The sequence below is a fragment of the Homo sapiens genome, chromosome 4 (assembly GCF_000001405.40).
Source record: "Homo sapiens chromosome 4, GRCh38.p14 Primary Assembly".
Lineage (NCBI taxonomy): Eukaryota > Metazoa > Chordata > Mammalia > Primates > Hominidae > Homo > Homo sapiens.
Window position 1 is genome coordinate 183,847,474 of NC_000004.12, and position 21,498 is coordinate 183,868,971.

Consider the following 21,498-nt stretch of genomic DNA (forward strand, 5'->3'; position numbering starts at 1 on the left):
AATTAGCAAAAATAATTCAGAACATATTGCCTTTTCTATCAGTCCTTCAGAGCCACCAGACAGGTTAAAAGAAACACAATTATTGGAAAGCAAGATCTGCTCTCCTTCCAGCACTAGGAACCATCACCAAGAAAGTGGGTTGCTGTCTTCAAGACCACAATCGAACTGGATAGGAGGATCCTGGGGCCAGGGTAGGTTAAAATGCCATAAATCTCCCCTACTGAAATTCAGCTGCCTTTTTCTTATGTGTTCACCTGGCCGCTGTAAACCTGTGACCAGTTCCAGAGTTCAGATTAAGTTGATTTTGACAGTTTTTGTCCATTTATTAGCTGTTTCTGTACAGGAACAGGCCCTTGGAATTCCCTATTCCACGATTTTCGCTGATGTCACTTTGTGCACATGTGCCTTACAAATAGTGTGTATATAAAAGAAAACATGTGTGAGCTAAGTGCAGGATGCTACCTTATTACCTTTGGTATAAAGAGAACTAGAGAGGAGAGAGGTTGAAGGAGAAGAAATGAGTAGGAAATGGAGGGATATTGACTGGCCCAGCTTCAGGCACCAAAACATAATACAGTCTTCCTAGAAAGTTATGCAGTTCAGGTATCTGTTCTATTAGGGGACAGCGTGTGGTTGCCTGTAACAGAAAATTGTTTCATACTGGCCCACACAAATAGGAATTTATTTGACTCACATAACAGGAAACCTGGGGATGAACAGGTAAGAGCCAGAGTAGTGGCCTAATGATGCTGTCAAGAACTCAGGTGCTGTTGATCATTCTCTTTCACTGTCATTAGAATATTGGCTTCTATATTCTCAGTTGTTGCCTCTTGATCTCAAGATGGTTGCTGTAGCTCCAGATAGCACCTCTGCATTCAAGGCACATAATATACAAAAGTCTTTTCCTGGCAACTTTTTAGAACGTTGGAACAGAAAGCCCCCGTCAGAAGACTTCTTATATTTCATTAGCCATAAATAAGTCACATGTTCACTCGTATATCCATCACTGGCCAAAAGAAGAGATTACCATGACAAGTCTGTGATTCTTCTGTCAGGGCTGGGGAAGGGCCTCCGAGAGATGAAAGGAGCAGGGTTCTGTAAGCCAGGAAGAGAGAATAACCGTTAGGTGGGCAGTGGACAATGGCTAGATAGAAGCTAAGAGGGATGGCTGATAAGGATGTGAGGTGGCTAGTTGGAAGGGTAGCAGGTACCTGCTCTGTCCTAACCATGTCAAACTTGGAGCAAGCTGTCATCTTTATTAGAGAAGTGAGGAGTTAGAAGTGAAGATTAGAAATACAAAACTTACAGACAGTCATGTAATAGGGTTAAAACCAGAAATGTCAACTCTGAGCCAAAGTAAGCTAAAGCCTGTGGTGTGTCGGATGCTGGAACAGGAGCCCGAAGTCCATGTTGGGGCCCAGGTGGAGGGAATAGAATTCTGCTGAGTGCCTGGTTTCTGGCTCTGGCTCTTGCCTCGTGGGAGTTTAGGTTACATTTAGAGCTGGCAAGCAGTTTCCAGCAGGTGTGGCAATCTCCAGGCCCTTAGATAACTAGTTCACTCTGGGCATGTACACAGTCTTGCAGGGGCTAGTAGATTCCAAGCATCAAACTAGAGATGGGAGAAGGACAATTTAGGGCCAAGTGGGGAAATTGGCAAGAGTCCCAGGCCCAGGAGCAGCCAGATTTCCTGGGCAGTTACCAAAATTGGAGCTTGGAAACAAGGCTTAAGAGGTGAAACTCTGTTATTTAGGGTTGGAGGCAGGCTGGAGTTGGGGAATTAGGAGCTCTTTGACTAAAATTGAGACTTTAGGGTGGAACTAGCAGCCACTGCTACTGGGTGCAAGACCCCAGAGTGGGCTGAAGTCAAAGGCCTCATGCCTCAGTATGGGCTTGATCCTGAGCATTGGAAATTAGCCTCAGCCTACTACATATGGATCAGGGGTTTCCTGTTGGGGTGGGAGAAGGAAGGATGTAGCTTCGTAGGAGATACATACAAGAACTCTTTTGGAGATAGCATTTACAGGGCTTGGAAAGAAGACAATGCTGGAGGGTGAGCCTAGCTGGCTGGCTTTATCTAAAATGTGGAATACAGAAATAGTAATAATTGTTGACGTTAAACGTCTGAGCCTATGAGTACATAGGGCATCTAGGGAGAGATGTCAGTAATTGATTATATGAGATTGGGATGTGGGAGATCTCTACCAAGATCTCTACAGCCAGAAATAAAGACTGGAGCCATCCACACATCGGGATCAGGATGGAGTGAGATTGCGAAGGGAGAGGGCGTTGGGAGTTCGGCACATCGTTTTTGTGTATGCACCATGAAGGAGAAGCCACTCCAAGGGTTGTATTTATTTCCATTTCATTTTATTGCCCCATGATTTTTTTCCCAGATTCCTCCAATTTCTGGTTGATTCTTCTTTCCTAATGTTTTTCAGATATAACCAGTTTCTCCCAAATAGCTGCATTTTCTTTTTTCTTTTCTTTTTCTTTCTTTCTTTTTTTTTGAGATGGAGTTTCACTCTTGTTGTCCAGGCTGTAGTGCAGTGGCAAGATCTTGGCTCACCATAACCTCCACCTCCCGGGTTCAAGCAATTCTCCTGCCTCAGCCTCACAAGTAATTGGGATTACAGGCTCCAGCCACCACAGCTGGCTAATTTTTTGTATTTTTATATTTTTAGTAGAGACGAGGTTTCACCATGTTGGCCAGGCTGGTCTTGAACTCCTGTCCTCAGGTGATCTGCCTGCCTCGGCCTCCCAAAGTGTTGGGATTACAGGCATGAGCCACCACACCCAGCCTGCATTTTCTTAAATGCTCAAAAAGTTTATATAGATTCTTCAAGGAGAAAAAAAAAATTTTGGAGAATGCCATATTTTCCATCCTTAAGACAAGGATTTGTGCTTATTATTCTTTATGATTTTCATTTATAGTAATTGATACTTATGAGATTTCTTTTTAAAAAAAGTCAAAAGGGCTGGGCATGGTGGCTCACACCTGTAATCCCAGCACTTTGGGAGGCCGAGGCAGGTGGATCACTTGAGGTCAGGAGTTTAAGACCAGCCTGACCAACATGGTGAAACCCCGTCTCTACTAAAAATACAAAAATTAGCTGGGCTTGGTGGCAGGTGCCTGTAATCCCAGTTACTTGGGAGGCTGAGGCAGGAGGATTGCTTGAACCCAGGAGGTGGAGGCTGCAGTAAGCCGAGATCACACCACTGCACTCCAGCCTGGGTGACAGAGTGAGACTCCGTCTCAAGAAAAAAAGAAGAAGTCAAAAGAAGAAGAACATGTTGCCACCTTCTCCTCCATTCTTTCATCATGTGACAAATGGGAGAAAGGATGAGGGAAAGGATGAGAGAAAGGATGAGAGAAAGGATGAGGGAAAGGATGAGGGAAAGGATGAGAGAAAGGATGAGAGAAACGATGAGGGAAAGGATGAGGGAAAGGATGAGGGAAAGGATGAGGGAAAGGATGAGGGAAACGATGAGGGAAAGGATGAGGGAAACGATGAGAAAGGATGAGGGAAAGGATGAGAGAAAGGATGAGAGAAACGATGAGGGAAAGGATGAGAGAAACGATGAGAGAAAGGATGAGGGAAAGGATGAGAGAAAGGATGAGGGAAACGATGAGGGAAACGATGAGGGAAAGGATGAGGGAAACGATGAGGGAAAGGATGAGAGAAACGATGAGAAAGGATGAGGGAAAGGATGAGAAAAAGAATGAGAGAAACGATGGAAAGGATGAGAGAAACGATGAGGGAAAGGATGAGGGAAAGGATGAGAGAAAGGATGAGAGAAACGATGAGGGAAAGGATGAGAGAAAGGATGAGGGAAAGGATGAGGGAAAGGATGAGGGAAAGGATGAGGGAAAGGATGAGAGAAAGGATGAGGGAAAGGATGAGAGAAACGATGAGGGAAAGGATGAGAGGATGAGAGAAAGGATGAGGGAAAGGATGAGAGAAAGGATGAGGGAAAGGATGAGAGAAACGATGAGAGAAACGATGAGGGAAAGGATGAGGGAAAGGATGAGGGAAAGGATGAGAGAAACGATGAGGGAAAGGATGAGGGAAAGGATGAGAGAAACGATGAGGGAAAGGATGAGAGAAAGGATGAGGGAAAGGATGAGGGAAAGGATGAGAGAAAGGATGAGGGAAAGGATGAGGGAAAGGATGAGAGAAAGGATGAGGGAAAGGATGAGAGAAAGGATGAGGGAAAGGATGAGAGAAACGATGAGGGAAAGGATGAGAGAAAGGATGAGGGAAAGGATGAGGGAAAGGATGAGAGAAAGGATGAGAGAAAGGATGAGGGAAAGGATGAGAGAAAGGATGAGAGAAAGGATGAGGGAAAGGATGAGGGAAACGATGAGGGAAAGGATGAGGGAAAGGATGAGAGAAAGGATGAGGGAAAGGATGAGGGAAAGGATGAGAGAAAGGATGAGGGAAAGGATGAGAGAAAGGATGAGGGAAAGGATGAGGGAAACGATGAGGGAAAGGATGAGGGAAAGGATGAGAGAAACGATGAGGGAAAGGATGAGGGAAAGGATGAGGGAAAGGATGAGGGAAAGGATGAGAGAAACGATGAGGGAAAGGATGAGAGAAAGGATGAGGGAAAGGATGAGGGAAAGGATGAGGGAAAGGATGAGGGAAAGGATGAGGGAAACGATGAGGGAAAGGATGAGAGAAAGGATGAGGGAAAGGATGAGGGAAAGGATGAGGGAAAGGATGAGGGAAAGGATGAGAGAAAGGATGAGGGAAAGGATGAGGGAAAGGATGAGGGAAAGGATGAGGGAAAGGATGAGAGAAACGATGAGGGAAAGGATGAGGGAAAGGATGAGAGAAACGATGAGGGAAAGGATGAGGGAAAGGATGAGGGAAAGGATGAGAGAAACGATGAGGGAAAGGATGAGAGAAAGGATGAGAGAAAGGATGAGGGAAAGGATGAGGGAAAGGATGAGAGAAAGGATGAGGGAAAGGTTGAGAGAAACGATGAGGGAAAGGATGAGAGAAAGGATGAGGGAAAGGATGAGGGAAAGGATGAGGGAAAGGATGAGGGAAAGGATGAGGGAAAGGATGAGGGAAAGGATGAGAGAAAGGATGAGGGAAAGGATGATGCTGCCTTATCATACTCTCATCAAGGTTAATTCTAGGTTGAACGATCTGACCACACCCTGTACCTCGGAAGCAGCATTCCCTTCAGCCATGGGAGGTTCTTTTTTTCTGCATTTAGCGGTGGAACTTTTAAGATTTATGTTAATAAGGAAGAGGAAATTAATTTAAACCTATTTAATAAAACGAATGGTTTTGTAAGTTGGTGTAAGGGTGCGTCAGCGTAAGTAGTAGAGAGTAGAAATCTATAAGTTCCTGATGGTCAAAATGGTCAAGTTGTTATTCACACTTGTGATTGTAGGGTATGGGTGTCAACTGCTTTTTCAAACATAGATGGCAAATGTGAAGAACTTCCCAGAACTGAGGTTGAAGCTCCAGATAAGGTAGGCAAGTCATTTACTGATGAACCCGGGGCACTTTGGAGTGGGAAAGGCAGTATTAGGAATAATCGCACGCAGGAACTTTTCTGGGCAGAGTGGGACTTACGGTCACCCTAGTTCTAGACCTCAGCAATGGTTCCCAGATTCCATAATTCAAGGTGAAATGAAATCAAAGTAAGGCATTTCCTCCTTGTTCTGGCATCTAAGTTGAAGGACTGTTCTCTTCTATAAAATACAGGTGGCTTAAGGTCCTGGAAATGCCGAAAGGAGATTGTCTTCATTGTCAGGCTTTTCCCTTGCGTTTCAAGTCAGGTGACAGTGTTTGGAGACTGTGCTGAGCGGATTCAGGGCCCAGCCCCGTGGGTCCTTAATGACTTCAATGTGGGTTTTTAATCTTCTGCCCAAGTGTTATCTTACTTGCCCAGACAAGTCGTTCACCACTACAGGAGAGTGTGGGAAAATTAACACTGCCAGAGCAACCAGGGAAGGGACGAAATGTCTGAAGGTAGAAATGAATTGCATTAGGATTTATTTTAATGCAGCCTGGAAACACACAACTTTAAATCTCTGGGCTGCTTAAGGAGATCCCACACCTTTCCTTGGAGGGAAAAAGAAAAAGAGGATTGAAAAATATACAGACTACAGCTATCTTTAATGTTTAAGTTAGCTATCAGGAAACTCGAAATAGTGAATGTAATAAAATGTTGACAGCAGTTTCACTTAACATGCGGTAACTCTGGACTAGAACGACATCTTTGGCACCAAAGGAAATCGAGAGAATAAAAGCAGCAGTCGTCAGGATTTGAAGGAAGCCACAGATTATTACCATCTGTACATTTTACAGACCTCTTACAAAAACCAGAAACCCAGGACCCAGACTGGAGTGTAAGTATATTGAGCTCTGGGGTGTGTTGTTAGATGGAGGAAACTCAGAAATTGGTCTGAATTTTTAAACACAATGCTTCATAAAACCTGACTATTCTGTTCTGGCGATGTTAGAACTTGTCTATAATCTGAAACAGCAGATTTATTTGGAGGGGTTATTTGCATGTCTCATGTGGGATATCCCATTGTTTCAAACCTTTACTATACCAGGCCTTCATACTTCCACGATTTCTCTGTAAATGTAGAATTATCTGTAAATTGCTCTCTGATTTCAGATTGTTCTTATGTGATGGGTTGTGTGTTCTTTCCTGAAGCTTGTGGAAAGGTCATCGTCAAACACATATAAGTGTCTTGAATAATGAATTGGTTCATCACTACCATAGATCACTTAGCTTGGACTTTTCTATTATTCTTGAGAAGGTACTTTCTCATGAACCTCCATTAAATATCAGTAGAAGAAGGTTTTGCCCAGTGTTTATTTGACATTATAACTTGGGCCAATGGTTAGATTCTCTGCAGTTGAAACTCATAGATAGAGACTAAACATAAAACATGCAAGTTTCACATCAGATGTTTTTGTGTGTGTCTGTGTGTTTTAATCAGGGCTTATATTTGCTCAGAGATATTAGACCTGAACTCCTAAACTCTAGCCCTTGAAAAACTAGATTCATGGCAGGGGGCAGGGGGGATGGTGAGTTTATTATTTTTTATAAAAAGTAAAAGTGTTTTAAAATAGCAAGTAGTGAATAAGAGAGGCCCATTTACCTAAAATGTTTACATAAAAATAGAGTTACATCCATGTAAATGGGACTGTTAGGTAAATTATTTGACATCTCATGGAGAAATAGAAACTTTCTCATAAATGATTTTGATATAGAGCACTGAAAATACAATTTAATGGAATCATTTCAACTTAAAAATGACAATTAATGACAGATTGGAGAAGTCAGCCAATTATCGCTTAGTGCTTTTCTATCCAACACATATGGAAGATTGCTTATAAACAGGGAATGTTTTTTTTAACATGCATATGAATTTAGTATAATATTTGTCAATTCTTAGCTAGTTTGGCAACATTAAAATCTTAGATCTTTGATACTTAGACTAGTGTCCCGAATATGAAATGTTCCATGGATAGATTTGTTCATTCTTTGCAACCCCTGAAATATTAATGTTTAAGCAAGAAACTCTTCACCCCAATATTTTTCTTTGGTAACCTAAGATTCACAGAGTGATGTAATAGAGTATTTGGCCAAATTAAAATGAGGGAAGGTGCAAATAACAGAATTAATTCCCACAGCTGTCGAATACGAGGTTAGCAAGTAAGTGAAATCACACGCATTACTTTGGGTGTTTAATTCTGAAAACTACTCATCCAAGTGTTCACTTTGAAATTTAATTGTGTGTATTTGTGTCTCTTCTCCTGAAGGGTGCTCTTCTGTTAGGGCAGCCCATGCCGTTTTTTAAATTAATGGTGCAGATTCTTTTAGTTCATAGGCTCGTCTTGGGGGAGTAATGCAGGCATGTGTGAAAGGGGCCGTGAGCCTTTCTGGACTCTTGGGTCCTATCTGATAAATGATTGCTTCAATACACTAAATGGGCCCCAGTGTCCTAGAAACGTTCATATCATTTCCACATGTTCACTTCCTTTTCCTGGAAAGTGTAACTTATGACAAGGGTAACTTGGAAATCCAAGCTCATTATTGGAGAAAAACGAATGGTCGTCTATTTGGCATATGTTTTGAAAATAACCTCAGTGTGGGAAAATCTTTTGTGAAGTTTATTATGAATCTGTTTATAGTATACTTTTCAAAATGTGTATGTAAGCATCTTAAGGCTTAAGAAAAGAAAGCGCTAAGTAGGCATAGTTGATTTCTCCTATTGCAAAAATACAAGTGAGCAAGGAAGAAGACTATGCAGCGGAAGGTATGGTTGGAATGATGTGTTGAGGAATGTTAATGATTCGTCTGGAAGCGTGCAAATGTGGGGCAAGTGCAGGCCCTTCACTTCCATCCTGGCTTCTTTTTGAAGTGACATTTGGCATTTTAGCTGCCTCACGATGCTACTCTGATAGGAATCTTCTGCCTATGGTGCACATTCGGAGAATGCTCTGGCCACAGCTGCTCTGGTTTGGGTCAGGAGTAGGGCAAGCTTTGCTGAAGGTGGCAGCTGCCCTGGCCTGTCTCCTCTGAGTTCGCTTCCAGCCTAGGTCTCATTCCTGGCCTGGTGGTAGCATCTTGCTGCAGGGATGGACCTCTCAGAAACATCCTAAGTGCGCACCCTGGGGTCTCGAATAGGCTGGTCACAGATTTCTAGGACACTGAGGCCCATTTAGTGTATTGAAGCAATCATTTATCAGATAGGACCCAAGAGTCCAGAAAGGCTCACGGCCCCTTTCACACATGTCGACATTACTCCCCCAAGACGAGCCTATGAACTAAAAAAATCTGCACCATTAATTAAAGAAATGGCATGGGCTACACTAACAGAAGAGCACCCTTCAGGAGAACAGACGCAAATACGCACAAACAGTTGCAAAGTGAACACTCGGATGAGTAGTTTTCAGCATTAAACACTTAAAGTAGTGTGTGATTCAACTTACTTGCTAACCTCGTATTTGACAGGTGAGGGTATTAATTCTGTTATTTCCACCTTCCCTCAGCAGTCTCCATCCAAACTGAAGGGCAGTTCAGGGATCTGCCTTCCAAAGCCTTGTCTAAAAGCCGTCCCTGCTCTCAGCCACCTGCCCCTGGCTGACTGCAGCTAATGGTAGGGTGGTTCATGTGAACATCGCTTTGCAGTTAGCTGTCTCGGACTCGGACCCCGGGGGATGATAGCTCCCTTGCCCAAGAATAATGGGGTGTTTTGTTGTTACAGAAGAAGGGAAGGGAGATGTGAAAGTGCTACTTTAAAAATAGTCTTTTTTCAGTAGTGTCTGTTTAATAGTTACTGCATATATATTAATGTGTGTAGCTTTATTTTTTTTGACACTTACCCTATGGGACCAAAACAGTCAGCTACCAAGTCTTATTGAGAATTTACTTTGGAAAGTCCTGGAGATTTGGTCTGTGGCATCTGACTGAGGAGAGAGGACATGTGAAGAGGCAGGGAGGGAGATGAGTGGATAATTAGATTAAATTGTGTGGTAGAGGCTGGGAGGGGTTTGGAGGGGTTTGGAGGACAGGAAGTTCAAACAAGCCTTCCTCTCCCTTCTCTAGGGTAATCCTTCTGCCTGGTAGGATTGGTTGCCCTGTAGGACTGGTTGTCCCACAGGACTGGTCATCCTGCAGAACTGGTTATCCCGCAGGACTGGTTATCCTGCAGGTCTGGTCATCCCACAGGACTGGTCATCCTGCAGGTCTCATCATCCCACAGGACTGGTTATCCCACAGGACTGGTCATCTCGCAGGACTGGTTATCCTGCAGGACTGGTCATCTTGCAGGACTGGTCATTCCACAGGACTGGTTATCCTGCAGTACTGGTTATCCCATAGGACTGGTTGCCTCGTAGGACTGGTCATCCCGCAGGACTGGTTATCCCGCAGGACTGGTTGCCTCATAGGATTGGTCATCCCACAGGACTGGTCATCCTGCAGGACTGGTTATCCCATTGAAGGCAGTGCCACGGCTGCCTGGATTCCCAGCCTTCCACATACTGACATGTGCAGGTCATCTCCGAATTTGAGGTTCTGCCCGATTCAGCTTCTTAATCTACTTATTTTTCCTCTTCTCCACATAACTTAAAAGATGTTCTGCTTTCATTCCTTTTATCTTGTTACCCCTTACCTCTGGGGTCCTTCCCACCTCCTGAATCCCGGGCAGCTGTGGAATGGAGGAACCTTCCCCCCAGCCCTGTCTCTTTCTCCTCCAGCTCTGCCCCAGTGCTGCTGGTGTCCCTGTCTGCTTTGCAGCCCCCCTTCCTTGGTTTCTGGAAAGCTGCTCTGTCCTTGTTTGCATCGATGCTGTTGGCGGCACAGCTCCCTCCCATGCCTCTGAGGGTATCCCCAGGTTTCAGTCCTGCCCATCCCCCTGTTCTCTCCCTGGGATAATGATAATTCATCCACTCTTCTCTCCCTACAGGAGTCAGTCATTCACTTCTCAAACATTTATCGAGTGCCTTTTATACCCCAGGAACTGATCCAGGCATTGGAGTAGAAGGATGAGGGCAAAAACTGGGTCCCTGCCTCCTGGAGTCCACAGTGAGGAGCGGGTAGTAAATAGGCCTCCCCAGCACAGCTGGAAGGGCAACCCCTGGGGAAGTGCAGGCTCCCTGGGGGACCCTCAGGGGGCACCATGCCTGACCTCACTGCACAGCCCCATCCCTAAGCTCTCCCTTGCCCCTCCGCCTCCCGGATGACCTATCCACACTTCAGACAAAGCAGCTCCACAGGGAAACCCACAATCTGTTCCTCCAAGCTAAGTGCCCTGCTGCTGGCCCATTCTTGACACTGTGACCTGCGTCTCCCGCCCTGTGCGGGCTGCAAGCCTGGGAGTCCCACTACAGCTCTAGTTTCCCTTCAGATCCTTACCCAGTCAGCCACCCACCCGGCAGCTCTTCTGCTGTCGTTGCGCTCAGCTCTGCTTCCGACTTTCCATTCCTGTTGCCTCTGCCCACGGCCGGAGCCTCCCTGCCTCATTCGTGCACTGTTTCGTATTTATAGATGGGGTATTTACTTCCTCAGAGATTTAAAAAAGTTACCCAAGTGGTTCATGTTCATGGTGGAAAATAATTAGAAAATAGAGAAAAAGAGAAAGAAGGAAGGAAGGAAGGAAGGAAGGAAGGGAGGGACGGGAAAACCACACATTTCACCATTCAGATAATGTCCCTATTGAGCTGTGATAGTTATCCCTCTAGACTTTTTCCCGTGTATCTATCAAAATATCCTCATCTATCCAAATGTGAAACATGTCTTACAAATCATGATTATGTTATCTATATTGTTTTGTAGTCGACTTCTTTATACTTAGCTTCTATGATTGCTTTTCTGGATCTAGAAATATAATACTTTTTTTTCATGGCTGTATAATTATTGGAAGCAATTTGCCCCTTCATCTCTACGTCATTTCAGTGTACTGTACACACCGCCCCTAAGTCATTCTCACACTTGATTGGTCTTGCTGCCCTTCTGCTGAAAAGCACAGGCAGCTTCCTATGGCCCTCTGCCACCCGCCCCACATTCCTCTTCTATAGGAAAGGTTTTATGCCTTTCTCAGTCTTCAGGATTCTTTCTCTCCTCTGAATAAGATCTATTATTTGGACCAAGCTTGGTGGCTGTCATAGGCTACACCTTGGGATTAGGAGGGGCAGTTCCTGGGATCCCACGGTGCCTTGCTCATCGCTGTGCCCCTGCTCTGGCCCATTCTCTCTCTCCCTCTTCCCAGTGTTGTAGGGTGTCACATGCTGCCAGGTCTTGGGACTGAAGAGGTGACCAAAGTGCCTCCGAACTCCAGCTCCTACCGCAGTAGGGCAGATACAGCCATGAAAACAGACAAATGCAACAGGGCAAGATCACGACGCTGGGGAGGAAGAAAGGGTGTCCATCGGGTGACATTGGAGCTGGTCTTGCCCTGTGACAGGCACCTACAGAGCTCAGCTGGCAGTGACCAAAGAGGATGACAGCAGGCATTTCAGGGGTGGCAGAGGGGACTGGGGGCAGTGGGCAGCCTGGGAAGGGCAGGGGCCAGATGGTGGGTGTTGGTGTGGCTTGGCATGACAGAGGCGGCGGGGCCAGGGTATGAACAGGCTTACGGAGCCATCTCCACCCACCCACAGGACAGTTTTGATGAGACAAAGCAAATGGTGACGCACAGAAGGCCAGCATGGCCCTTGCATGCAGGGAACTTGTTGTTGAAACCAAGATAAATTTCTGTATTTTTATGATTTTGATATCACAAGTCAAATCCTGAAACCCACATGTCACTGGGATGATCCAAATGATCTTACCGAACTGAATGGATTTTTTTTTCCTATTATACCAAAGACTAGAAAGACTTTTGATATCTAGGACTTTATTTTCCTTGTCACAATATTCTGTATATTAGGATTTGTTCATGTCAGTTGCGTTTACTGACAGATTAGATTAGATTAGATTAGATATTTACTGACAGAATTTCCTGGCAGATTAGAATGTGTGTGTGTGTATGTATTTGTTAGTATATTAAAACTAGTCAAAAAGCCTCTTTGCTGTTTAAAGATAATATATAATTCTGCAATTAAATATCTGTGTCCCTTTAAAATCATATTCTTTTTTTTTTACCGATGTCTACCTATTTAGGATGTAGTTCACTGTGAATTTTTAAATCAAAGAAAATAACTTCTTCCAGTTTTTGTAAAGGGAGATGAGGAATGATTTAAGCTTCACAAATAGAACATAGTGCTTTAAACTGTGAGGGACTTCTCACTGGGTCCAGCCTCATCATTATACAGAAAAGGAAACGGGCCCTCAAAAGTGAAGCAATTTGCCTAAAATGACGTAGCTAATTAGTGGCCCAGCCAAAACCCCAATCCAGGACTTCTGGCTTTCAGTGCTGTGACCTTCCCACTATTCCATGCTGCCAGCTGGCTTAAAACAAAACAAAACAAACAAAAAACAAAAAACAAAAAAAAAAAAAAAAGAAGAAAAAGAAGAAAAAATTGGAGAATTGAGTTGACACATTGCTTGAATTCCCCTACCTCTTTATAGAGTGTGAAAAATCCTGATATGCTTTAAAAGAAACACTTAAAAATGTATCGGGACTTGTAAAGAAAATCAGGAATATTTGTGATATGCTAATTAGAAAGTATCTCATTATGCGAGAGACAGGAAACGTGGCAGAGGGAGATGCTATTCAGAGTAACTTAAGGAAACTTCAAAGGTAAGACAAAAGGCCGTTCTTTTTATTTATTTGATAATGTTTGTGGCTGTCATCAAAGTTCTGATGGGGCCTGACACCTTTATGAAAAACCCCCTGTATGAAAAACACTGGGGGAATCTCTCAGACACACGGAAGGAAAAGCAAACGATTCCATTTCCATCCGAGTTTCCGTAGGTGGAAGACAGCCTTTCCCACAGTGCTCGCCTGCCAAGCATCTTCCTGTAGGAACTTGTCAGTGCCGCCATTAGTTGTTTGCAAAGGGATTACGCTTTGGCAGCCATGCTAATCGCTCCAAGGTGACCCTTTATTTGGAGAAACAAATCCTTTTCAGTTGTTGTTACGGTACACTAATCCAACCATGCAAGTAGCTGTTTGGGAAAAAAATTATCAAAGTGCATTTTCTCCCCACTACTTCTTTCTCTCCAGATCGCTCCTAACTAAAAGTGCTGTTTCTTCCAAAGAAGTTCAAAATGACAGGGAGAAAAACACAGAACCTGGTCAGATTTCAAATTCAGGAGCAGACAGGACCCCCTAGATCTCAGAAGGAGCTGCCCCCCACCACTGAGGTTCAACAAAACCCCCAGGTGGGAGTGGACTGTCCCGTTACCTTGGGGGGGTCCTCACCCTGCTGCAGTGGGGCCCCTGTCTTTGTCTGGCCATTGCTGCTGTTTGCCGCCATGGTGAAGTTTGTTGCACTGTAATGTTCATAGATACCCAGGAAGAGGGAGAACCGGGGAGCTTTCAGCCTCTCAGCCTGCGAGAGCCTCTAGGGAGAGACAAGGACACCTCAAAATACCAGTTCTGACGTGAGAAGCGACTTTCAGGCAGGGTTTTGTAGATCGTGTGGATTTTGGAGTTGGAACACACTGGCTTGGGATTGCAGTTTTGCATCTTAGCTGTGTGACCGTGAACAAGTCACCTGGTCCCTGGGCGCCGCAGCTTCTTCATCTGTAAAATGGGTTGTGGTGATTACCGGTAGGGATGTTTGGAAGACACAATGCGACAATATATGTAAAGTGCCTCGCAGGGCGTAGGGCTCATTGTGGGTCCTCAAAAATAGTAGCAGTTATCATTTTTCCTATATTTATGATTATCTAAACGCTAATATACCAACAACTATTTTAGTTTAAATTAGGACCCGGAAGAGCCCAAATATTAATTTACAGCTCAGTGGATGATTCAAAGTGCAAAGCCCCACGTAACCACCATCCAGGTGGTAACTAGAACATTACAGGATCACAGGAGCCTCATCCCTCCCCGTCCACACGATTTCCCCTTCCCTTCTTACCGAATGTAGCCATTTTCCTAAACTTCTAACACTCAACAGATACTTCGTGAGGGTTTCCTAGATCCCAGGCTCTAGACCACACAGTTCTTGCCCTAGGGAGCTTAGGTTTCAGAGGCAGGAGCCAGACAACAAAAGCATATGAGAATGAGGGGATTTCAGATAACGTTAAGTGTTTGTTGTTGTTGTTTGTTTGTTTGTTTGTTTTTTGAGACAGAGTCTCACTCTGTCACCCAGGCTGGAGTGCAGTGGCACGATCTCGGCTCATTGCAACCTCTGCCTCCTGGGTACAAGCGATTCTCCTGCCTCAGCCTCCCTAGTAGCTGGGATTACAGGCACATGCCATCACCCCTAGCTAATTTTTGTATTTTGAGTAGAGACAGGGTTTCACCATGTTGGCCAGGCTGGTCTTGAACTGCCTACCTCGGCCTCCCAAAGTGCTGTGATTATAGGCATGAGCTACTGTGCCCAGCCAATGTTAAGTGTTATGAGGAAAATAAAATACCCGAATGGGCCAGAAGACAGCTGTCAGAGGGTGCCTCTACAAGGGTGACCAGGGAAGGCCCTTCTGAAGAAGTGACAATGGGAAGACCCAGGGAGGAGCTGTCCATGGGAGGGAGCAGTGGGAGGCCCCTGGGCGGGAGAGGCTGGCACGCATTTGAGTGGCAAGAAGAAGCCATGCGAGAGTCGGCAGGGTTTACACCCTGAGGGCTCGATACAGGCTTTGGGGGCAAATTGCGTTTTAAGATCAAGGGTAATTAGTGTCCTGAGAAAAACCAAGGAAACTCAGAAGAGGGAGGGATCGCGCCCCACCACCTCTCTCTAACGGTGCCCTGTGGGACTTGGACAGTGTGGTTTCCTTGTAAACACAGGGCCTCCCTGGACCGTCACTACCACCTCGTGAGGCCTACAAGGAAGGCGTGGTTATTTCCGGTCAGACAGGAGGTGACAGACACTGGGAGGGCCTAAGGCTTGTTGCAGAACTCCTTTTACCACACCAGGGAGCCCACCAATCTCACTGGGGATGTTTAGGTTGCTCATGTCATCGTAGTTCAGGATCTTCCGACCTAAGAAACAAGCCAACTCCTGCAGGAAGCAGGTAGCCTTGTGTCTCCCACAAGGTCATCTGAGAACATCGGTGGCGTACAGGACTCATGAAAGAAGCGGTCCTGGGTGAGTGACGTGGACATGGAGCACAGTGCCTCCCAGCCCTGGAGAGTCCCAATGTGGAACGCTGTAAAGCCTCTGAGAAGCTCTGCAGTAAGGAAACCCATGAACTGTGCCCCCCACACCAGGCCATAGGAGCTCTTTTGTATGCCATGTCCATTGACATCTCAAGGAATGCAAGTTCTGGAGGTGCCACTTGGAAAACGCCAGCTGAGAGAGCTGCTATAGAGTGTTTACTAAATGAGCTCTTGAAAGAGTTCAAGGATTTTCTGAGCCTGAAAGTCTTCTCTGTGTGAAAGGATTAGAAACAACATTTGTAAAGCACTTCCATATGCGTAGAATGAAGACTCTGGATGAATGGAGATTCAAAGTGTTGAAAATCATAAATCCACTCCTGTTTTGTACACGAATGTTAATTTGCCCTTTGAACTCATAGTGTTTCCATTAGTATTGCGTGACGATTGGCTTGTTCTTCGGGACTCTAGGATCTCAAAGCAGGAACCAGTCTTATCTGGTTTAAAAGATAAATGTTCTAAACCACACATGGCTTTGATTTTGGATTACTACCTACAAGGCTACATATTTACATAGAAAAGAGTCCATTTCTAGATTGCTTGTAACCATTTATACCTGTTTTCATACAGATTATTATTCTTTTAATTTTTTTTGTTTGCTCTTGCCTAGGGATTTACACAACCGTATCTGAACTTGGAGGAAATGTTTTTGATAGGTGTTCACAGAACCACTGAGCTCTGGCAGTTTGTGGAAGAGTGTCTGGTTGACTTTAATTCGAAACAGAATGTTCAGACCTCTTAGCACCTTCATTTCTCTTCATTTTCCAGCTCCAGCTCCATCTGTATTTCCTCCTTCATTTTAACTCTGTGGTCCACACTTTAAAGTATGTGAATGTTATTTTTTTTAATAGTCTGTATTGCCTAGAGTTCTGCATTTCCCAAACTAGGTTCTCAGAAAAAAAAGTTTTGAAATATGAGGAAATACAGAGGTAAACGAGGCTGTTTACTGCAGGACTTCTCATGCCTTTACTATCCTAACATGCACTGTTATTCTCCAGAACGGAGATAAAACAGTTATTATTTTCCAGACTTATTTAACTCCTGAATGCCTACCTCAGCCCCTTTCAGGAATGTTATTCTGCAAATCCTACTTTGGATTAAAAAAACTAAAAGAAGAGTAATCTCTATGAAAACAGGTGCAGATGATTACAAGTGATGTATAAATGGACTATTTATTTATTTATTTTTGAAATGGGGTCTTACTCTGTCACCAGGCTGGAGTGCAGTGGTGCACTCTCAGCTCACTGCAACCTCCACCTCCTGGGTTCAAGTGATTCTTCTGCCTCAGCCTCCCGAGTAGCTGGGATTACAGGCGCCCACCACCATGCCTGGCTAATTTTTGTATTTTTAGTAGAGATGGGGTTTCTCCATGTTGGCCAGGCTGGTCTCGAACTCCTGACCTCAAGTGATCCATGCACCTCTGCCTCCCAACGTGCTGGGATTACAGACAAGAGCCACTGCGCCCGGCCAAATGGACTCTTTTTATGTAAATATATATCCTTGTAGATAACAATCCAAATCCAAGTAGGATTGATGCTGAAGTAAGATCAAACCCAAACCTCTCAACTTGGATTTTCCTCAACCACTCCTCTAGCAATGTGTCCCACTACCACTTCACTTATCCGTCCCAGCAAAACTAATTGTTTTATAATCTTCCCAAAAAACTTCAGGTTTCTCTACTTTTAAATCTCTTCTTATGATACTCTCTTTCTCTCCTCCATTCTTACCCAGCAAATCTAAAATGCTTTTCTTTCTTCTGCTCCGGTATGAAAGATCACAGTTCTCCAAATCCCAGTTACCCTGGGAACACCTTCCTGACCATCACAATCCACAAAGAATCTCTCTTAGAGCTGTTATCATCTGTACCCTGCCTTAGCCCGTATTATGAATATTTGCTGCCTATGGTTTATCACATATGTACTGTCTCTGCTACTTGAGGCTCACACCTGTATGTGCATTTGTGTGCCCATGTGTTTAATCCTTGTTAGGCTTTGTACACAGCACAAACTCCATTGAATGAAAAAAATAGTTTATATTTTGTTTTGAAATCTGATTATTTATTCTCTCTCTTCTTAGATACTCGGTTTTAAAGTGACTGGGGTGGGTGGGATTGCTGTTTTACCTGTCTTTTGGTTCATGAGTTAGGCAGAGACTATAGAAAAGGCATGAACAATTACTATAGAAACTGCCACAAACATATTAAGCACATAGAGGGTGTCAGCATCTATGAATAAAAAGCCCGTATTTTCTCTAAATGAGCTTACGGTCTGTTTGGGGAGATAAGTATTATAATACAATTTAATAAAAGACCTTGTTAGTAGTATCAAAAAGCATTATAGGATACAGGAATGAGGATGGCTAATTTCAGGTGAGTCTGCAGGACCGTAGATAGAAAGAATTTATGGGATGTAAAGAAAAAAATTCACTGAAGAGGAGGTAGTGATTTATGCTAAAAGAATAAGACAGAATTAGGAGTTTGGATGGGGAAGAGGAGGTGACGGAGGTTGCAAGGAGGGGAACGAAATGGCATGAACACAGGCTAGAAGGCAAGAAAACCCTGGTTGTAGGTTGCATGGAGAAGTCTTGTGGAGACAAAGACAGAATTTGATTTGGGGGTCATTTTTTGGAAGGCTTTTTTCTTTTTAACCACTTAGGCATTGTGAGTCCATTAAAACAACGTTTAAGCTGATGAGTGGCGTGATAAAGATTAGGCTTTAGGAAAAATGGAAGACGGAGTTGACACAGGTGAATAAAATGAGGGTTCCACTGAGATTGTCATGGATCTAATGATCTTGGTGACTCCCAGCAGACCTGGGTATGAGGAGCAGAGAAAACCCACAGCATAGGTGAAGGGGAGAAAGATACACGTGCTGATGAACAATTGTTTTCAAAGTTAATTTTAATTCTTTGCGGTGAAGGAATAATATAGGGAGGGGCCTTAAGCTCTTGTTGTCCCCCTTCAAGTGGCCACCCCTCTGCCCCTTCTCTTATATCCAGTGCTCAGCTTATTTCAAGAAGATAAGCCCACCCCGAGCCTGTTCTTTCCTTGCCAAAAACCCTAATTGCTGGTTTTCCTAGTGGTCTTTCTCTCCCGGTTTCTCTCACTGGCAGCCTGAAGAAATCATATTATAATGAGTGAGGAAAGAATGTTCTCCATGGAGAACCTGTTCTGGCATCTTAAGATCCTGTTTCTCCTGGTGTTCTGAGTAGGATGCTTCAGCCTTCAGAGCTGCAGGGCATCTGATTTAAGAGCCATCTGTTTTAATCAGGCATTTTGCCTGATTTATGAAGAAGAGGATGGTGGAGGGGGAGGGGCTGGGATATACTATATTCTCCCAGTTAGATGAGAATTACTGAGAATTACTGTGCCAGATCCCGGCAATGATGTGTTTGCATTATTGAATGTCATTGCTTTTCCTTTCATTGTTCTTTATCTTAAAGTTTCAGAGCCTCTTGTTAGTGTTTCTAAAACTTCAACACTTTGTGTTTTTGGAGCTCCTAGACAGGTGCCAGGCGCAGTGGCTTATGCCTGTAGTCCCAGCACGTTGGGAGGCCAAGACGGGAGGAACACTTGAACTCAGGAGTTGGAGGCCGCAGTGAGTGGCAATTGGGTCACTACACTCCAGCCTGAGTAACAGAAGGAGACCCTGTCTCAAAACAGACAAACAAACAAACAAACAAAAAGAACAATGTATTTTATTTTGTCAATCAACATGAATAGAAGTTGAAGCAATTTACCCTCACATTTGATACTCCGTGATACAAATTAGAAAAAGGTCATCTCTTGTTTATAGTTCTTTTTTTTTTCCCCCTATGAGTGGGCACTATTTACATGTGGAAGGATCTGTGTCCAAGCTTTCAATCACCATGTTGTTTCGGCTCTAGAGCTGCCTATAAGCAACTGTACAGAGTTTAGAGTGGATCAAGGTGGTGACATGTTCGCCCTCTCTATTACCCATGTGGGCACACCCAGTGTTTAGAAAATAGTTTTTCTCTACATCTCCATTTGCCGCTGTCACTTGAGGAAATTTTACTAAAATTCAGAAGGTTTTGAAACTCCCAGATTACCTTTAAAACTTAGGGAGACTGGTTGCCCAGAGGATAAACAGAGATTTCAAAAATATGACATGGAAGAGAGGGTGAAAGGCTGGCACTTCTTAAGCCGAGAGCCCGAGGAGAAAGGCCAAGATCGGGACACAGCAGATACGTTTCCTGGACAGGGCTGCTGAGGGAACGTTGCCAGATGAGCTTTCAGCGAATGCTGTGTTTCATTTGTTCTTGGTCCCTTCATCATTAAAAGCATATTAAAGTGTCATAGTCACTCGGAGCAGTGGCCCACCCCACCATGATCCTGCTTTACCGTGGGACATGAGGCCAGAGATCTGAGGTTATCCATCGTTTGTCATCCTGAGAAGGAGTTTCCTTTAATAAGTCGGGGTATATTTCCCTTCCTAGCTCTTTTCCCATATAGTTAATTCTTGGCGTGTGCAATCACTTTTAGTCTATTAGTATTAATCGTGCTCCCTTGCTGCTCCAGGCTCTGTGCTGGGCTCAAGAGACACAAAGGTTGAGTAGCTTCTCCTGAAAGGTACCTCACAGCCCCAAGGGGGAAGCAGACAGGAATGCAATTCACTACAAGTGCCAAGAGCTAGAATAGAGCACCGGTATGGCTCAGGGGATGCAGAAGAAGGAAGAACTGATTGCTGGGGACAGTCAGAATTTTCCCTCTGCTTTTTTATTCCTGTAGTGTAAAATTTGCATAATAAAGAAGCAAGTTAACATGTTGTGTCAACCTATGCCTCTCGAACATTAGAGTGTGTTCTGGATCTGGGGCTTGACCACTTGCTCAGCAAGTCTGTAATTGTCCTGAAAGCCTTTCTGAAGCCATGACTGAAGCCTCTCGGTGGCATCTGAGGAGAAATGTTAGGAAAACATTTAGATGGCAGTTCAGTGGATCATAGAAACTACTTTGCTAATACAGTTTAGTGACATTTTTAGAAAGGAGGCCAGAATACCAGAGAGCCATGGACAACCATTTCTTTACATTGTTTCTAGGGCCAGCACTGTGGCTCACACCTGTAACCGCAGCACTGTGGGAGGCCGAGGAGGGAGGATTGCTTGAGCTCAGGAGGTTGAGCCTGCAGTGAGCTATGATTGTGCCATTGCACTTCAGCCTGGGCAACAGATGGAGACTCAGTTTCTTTAAAAAAGAAAAAAAAATTGTTTCTCTATGTATGAGTTGGATAATGGAAGTTACCTAGATCTTCCTCAGGTCATCTGGGCATGCTGGTGAGGTGGCAGAACCTGCCCCAAAGACGAATGTCCCGACTTGAGTGAAGGTTGCTCAGGTGGACTTGAAAAGTCTGGGGAAACCAGGAACAGCTGATTAAGCCCGAGGAGGCATAATATAGCAGCACTGTGACCCTGACGGCTGGAAAAATTTAGATGCTCAGTTTTTCTCCTGAGTGCAACAATTCTCATGTCTTACTCGAATTCAAGACTTCATGGAATGCAGCAAGCTGTGTATAGCTCCTCGTAGCAAAACCTCAAATGGGTGGAAATAAGATGTCCGGCTTAACTGAATGTTCTAGTTTATTAAAAGTAAACCCTTCTGTTAAGAGTAAGCCCTTTTATTAAAAAAGAAAAAGGGTAAGTCACTCCCCACTTTTCTTTTGATAAAAATATGTCTTTAATACAATACAGTGAGTATATCCTTGAACCTTTTTGGTTTATTTGGTGTTTTGAGG

At 44.2% G+C, this 21,498-nt stretch overlaps 1 protein-coding gene across 2 annotated transcripts in view, besides 1 other annotated feature; it reads left to right on the top strand.

Annotated features, from left to right (window-relative positions):
- STOX2 (storkhead box 2) overlaps positions 1-21,498 on the top strand; it is a 225,509-nt gene that overhangs the window by 49,452 nt on the left and 154,559 nt on the right. The window lies entirely within an intron of this gene.
- Positions 14,699-15,200: an enhancer, noted in NCBI's record as "H3K4me1 hESC enhancer chr4:184783325-184783826 (GRCh37/hg19 assembly coordinates)". NCBI's record gives its function as "activates a minimal SCP1, AML or CMV promoter by ChIP-STARR-seq in naive H9 embryonic stem cells {active_cell/tissue: H9 hESC(naive)}" and the evidence as "EXISTENCE:reporter gene assay evidence [ECO:0000049][PMID:30033119]".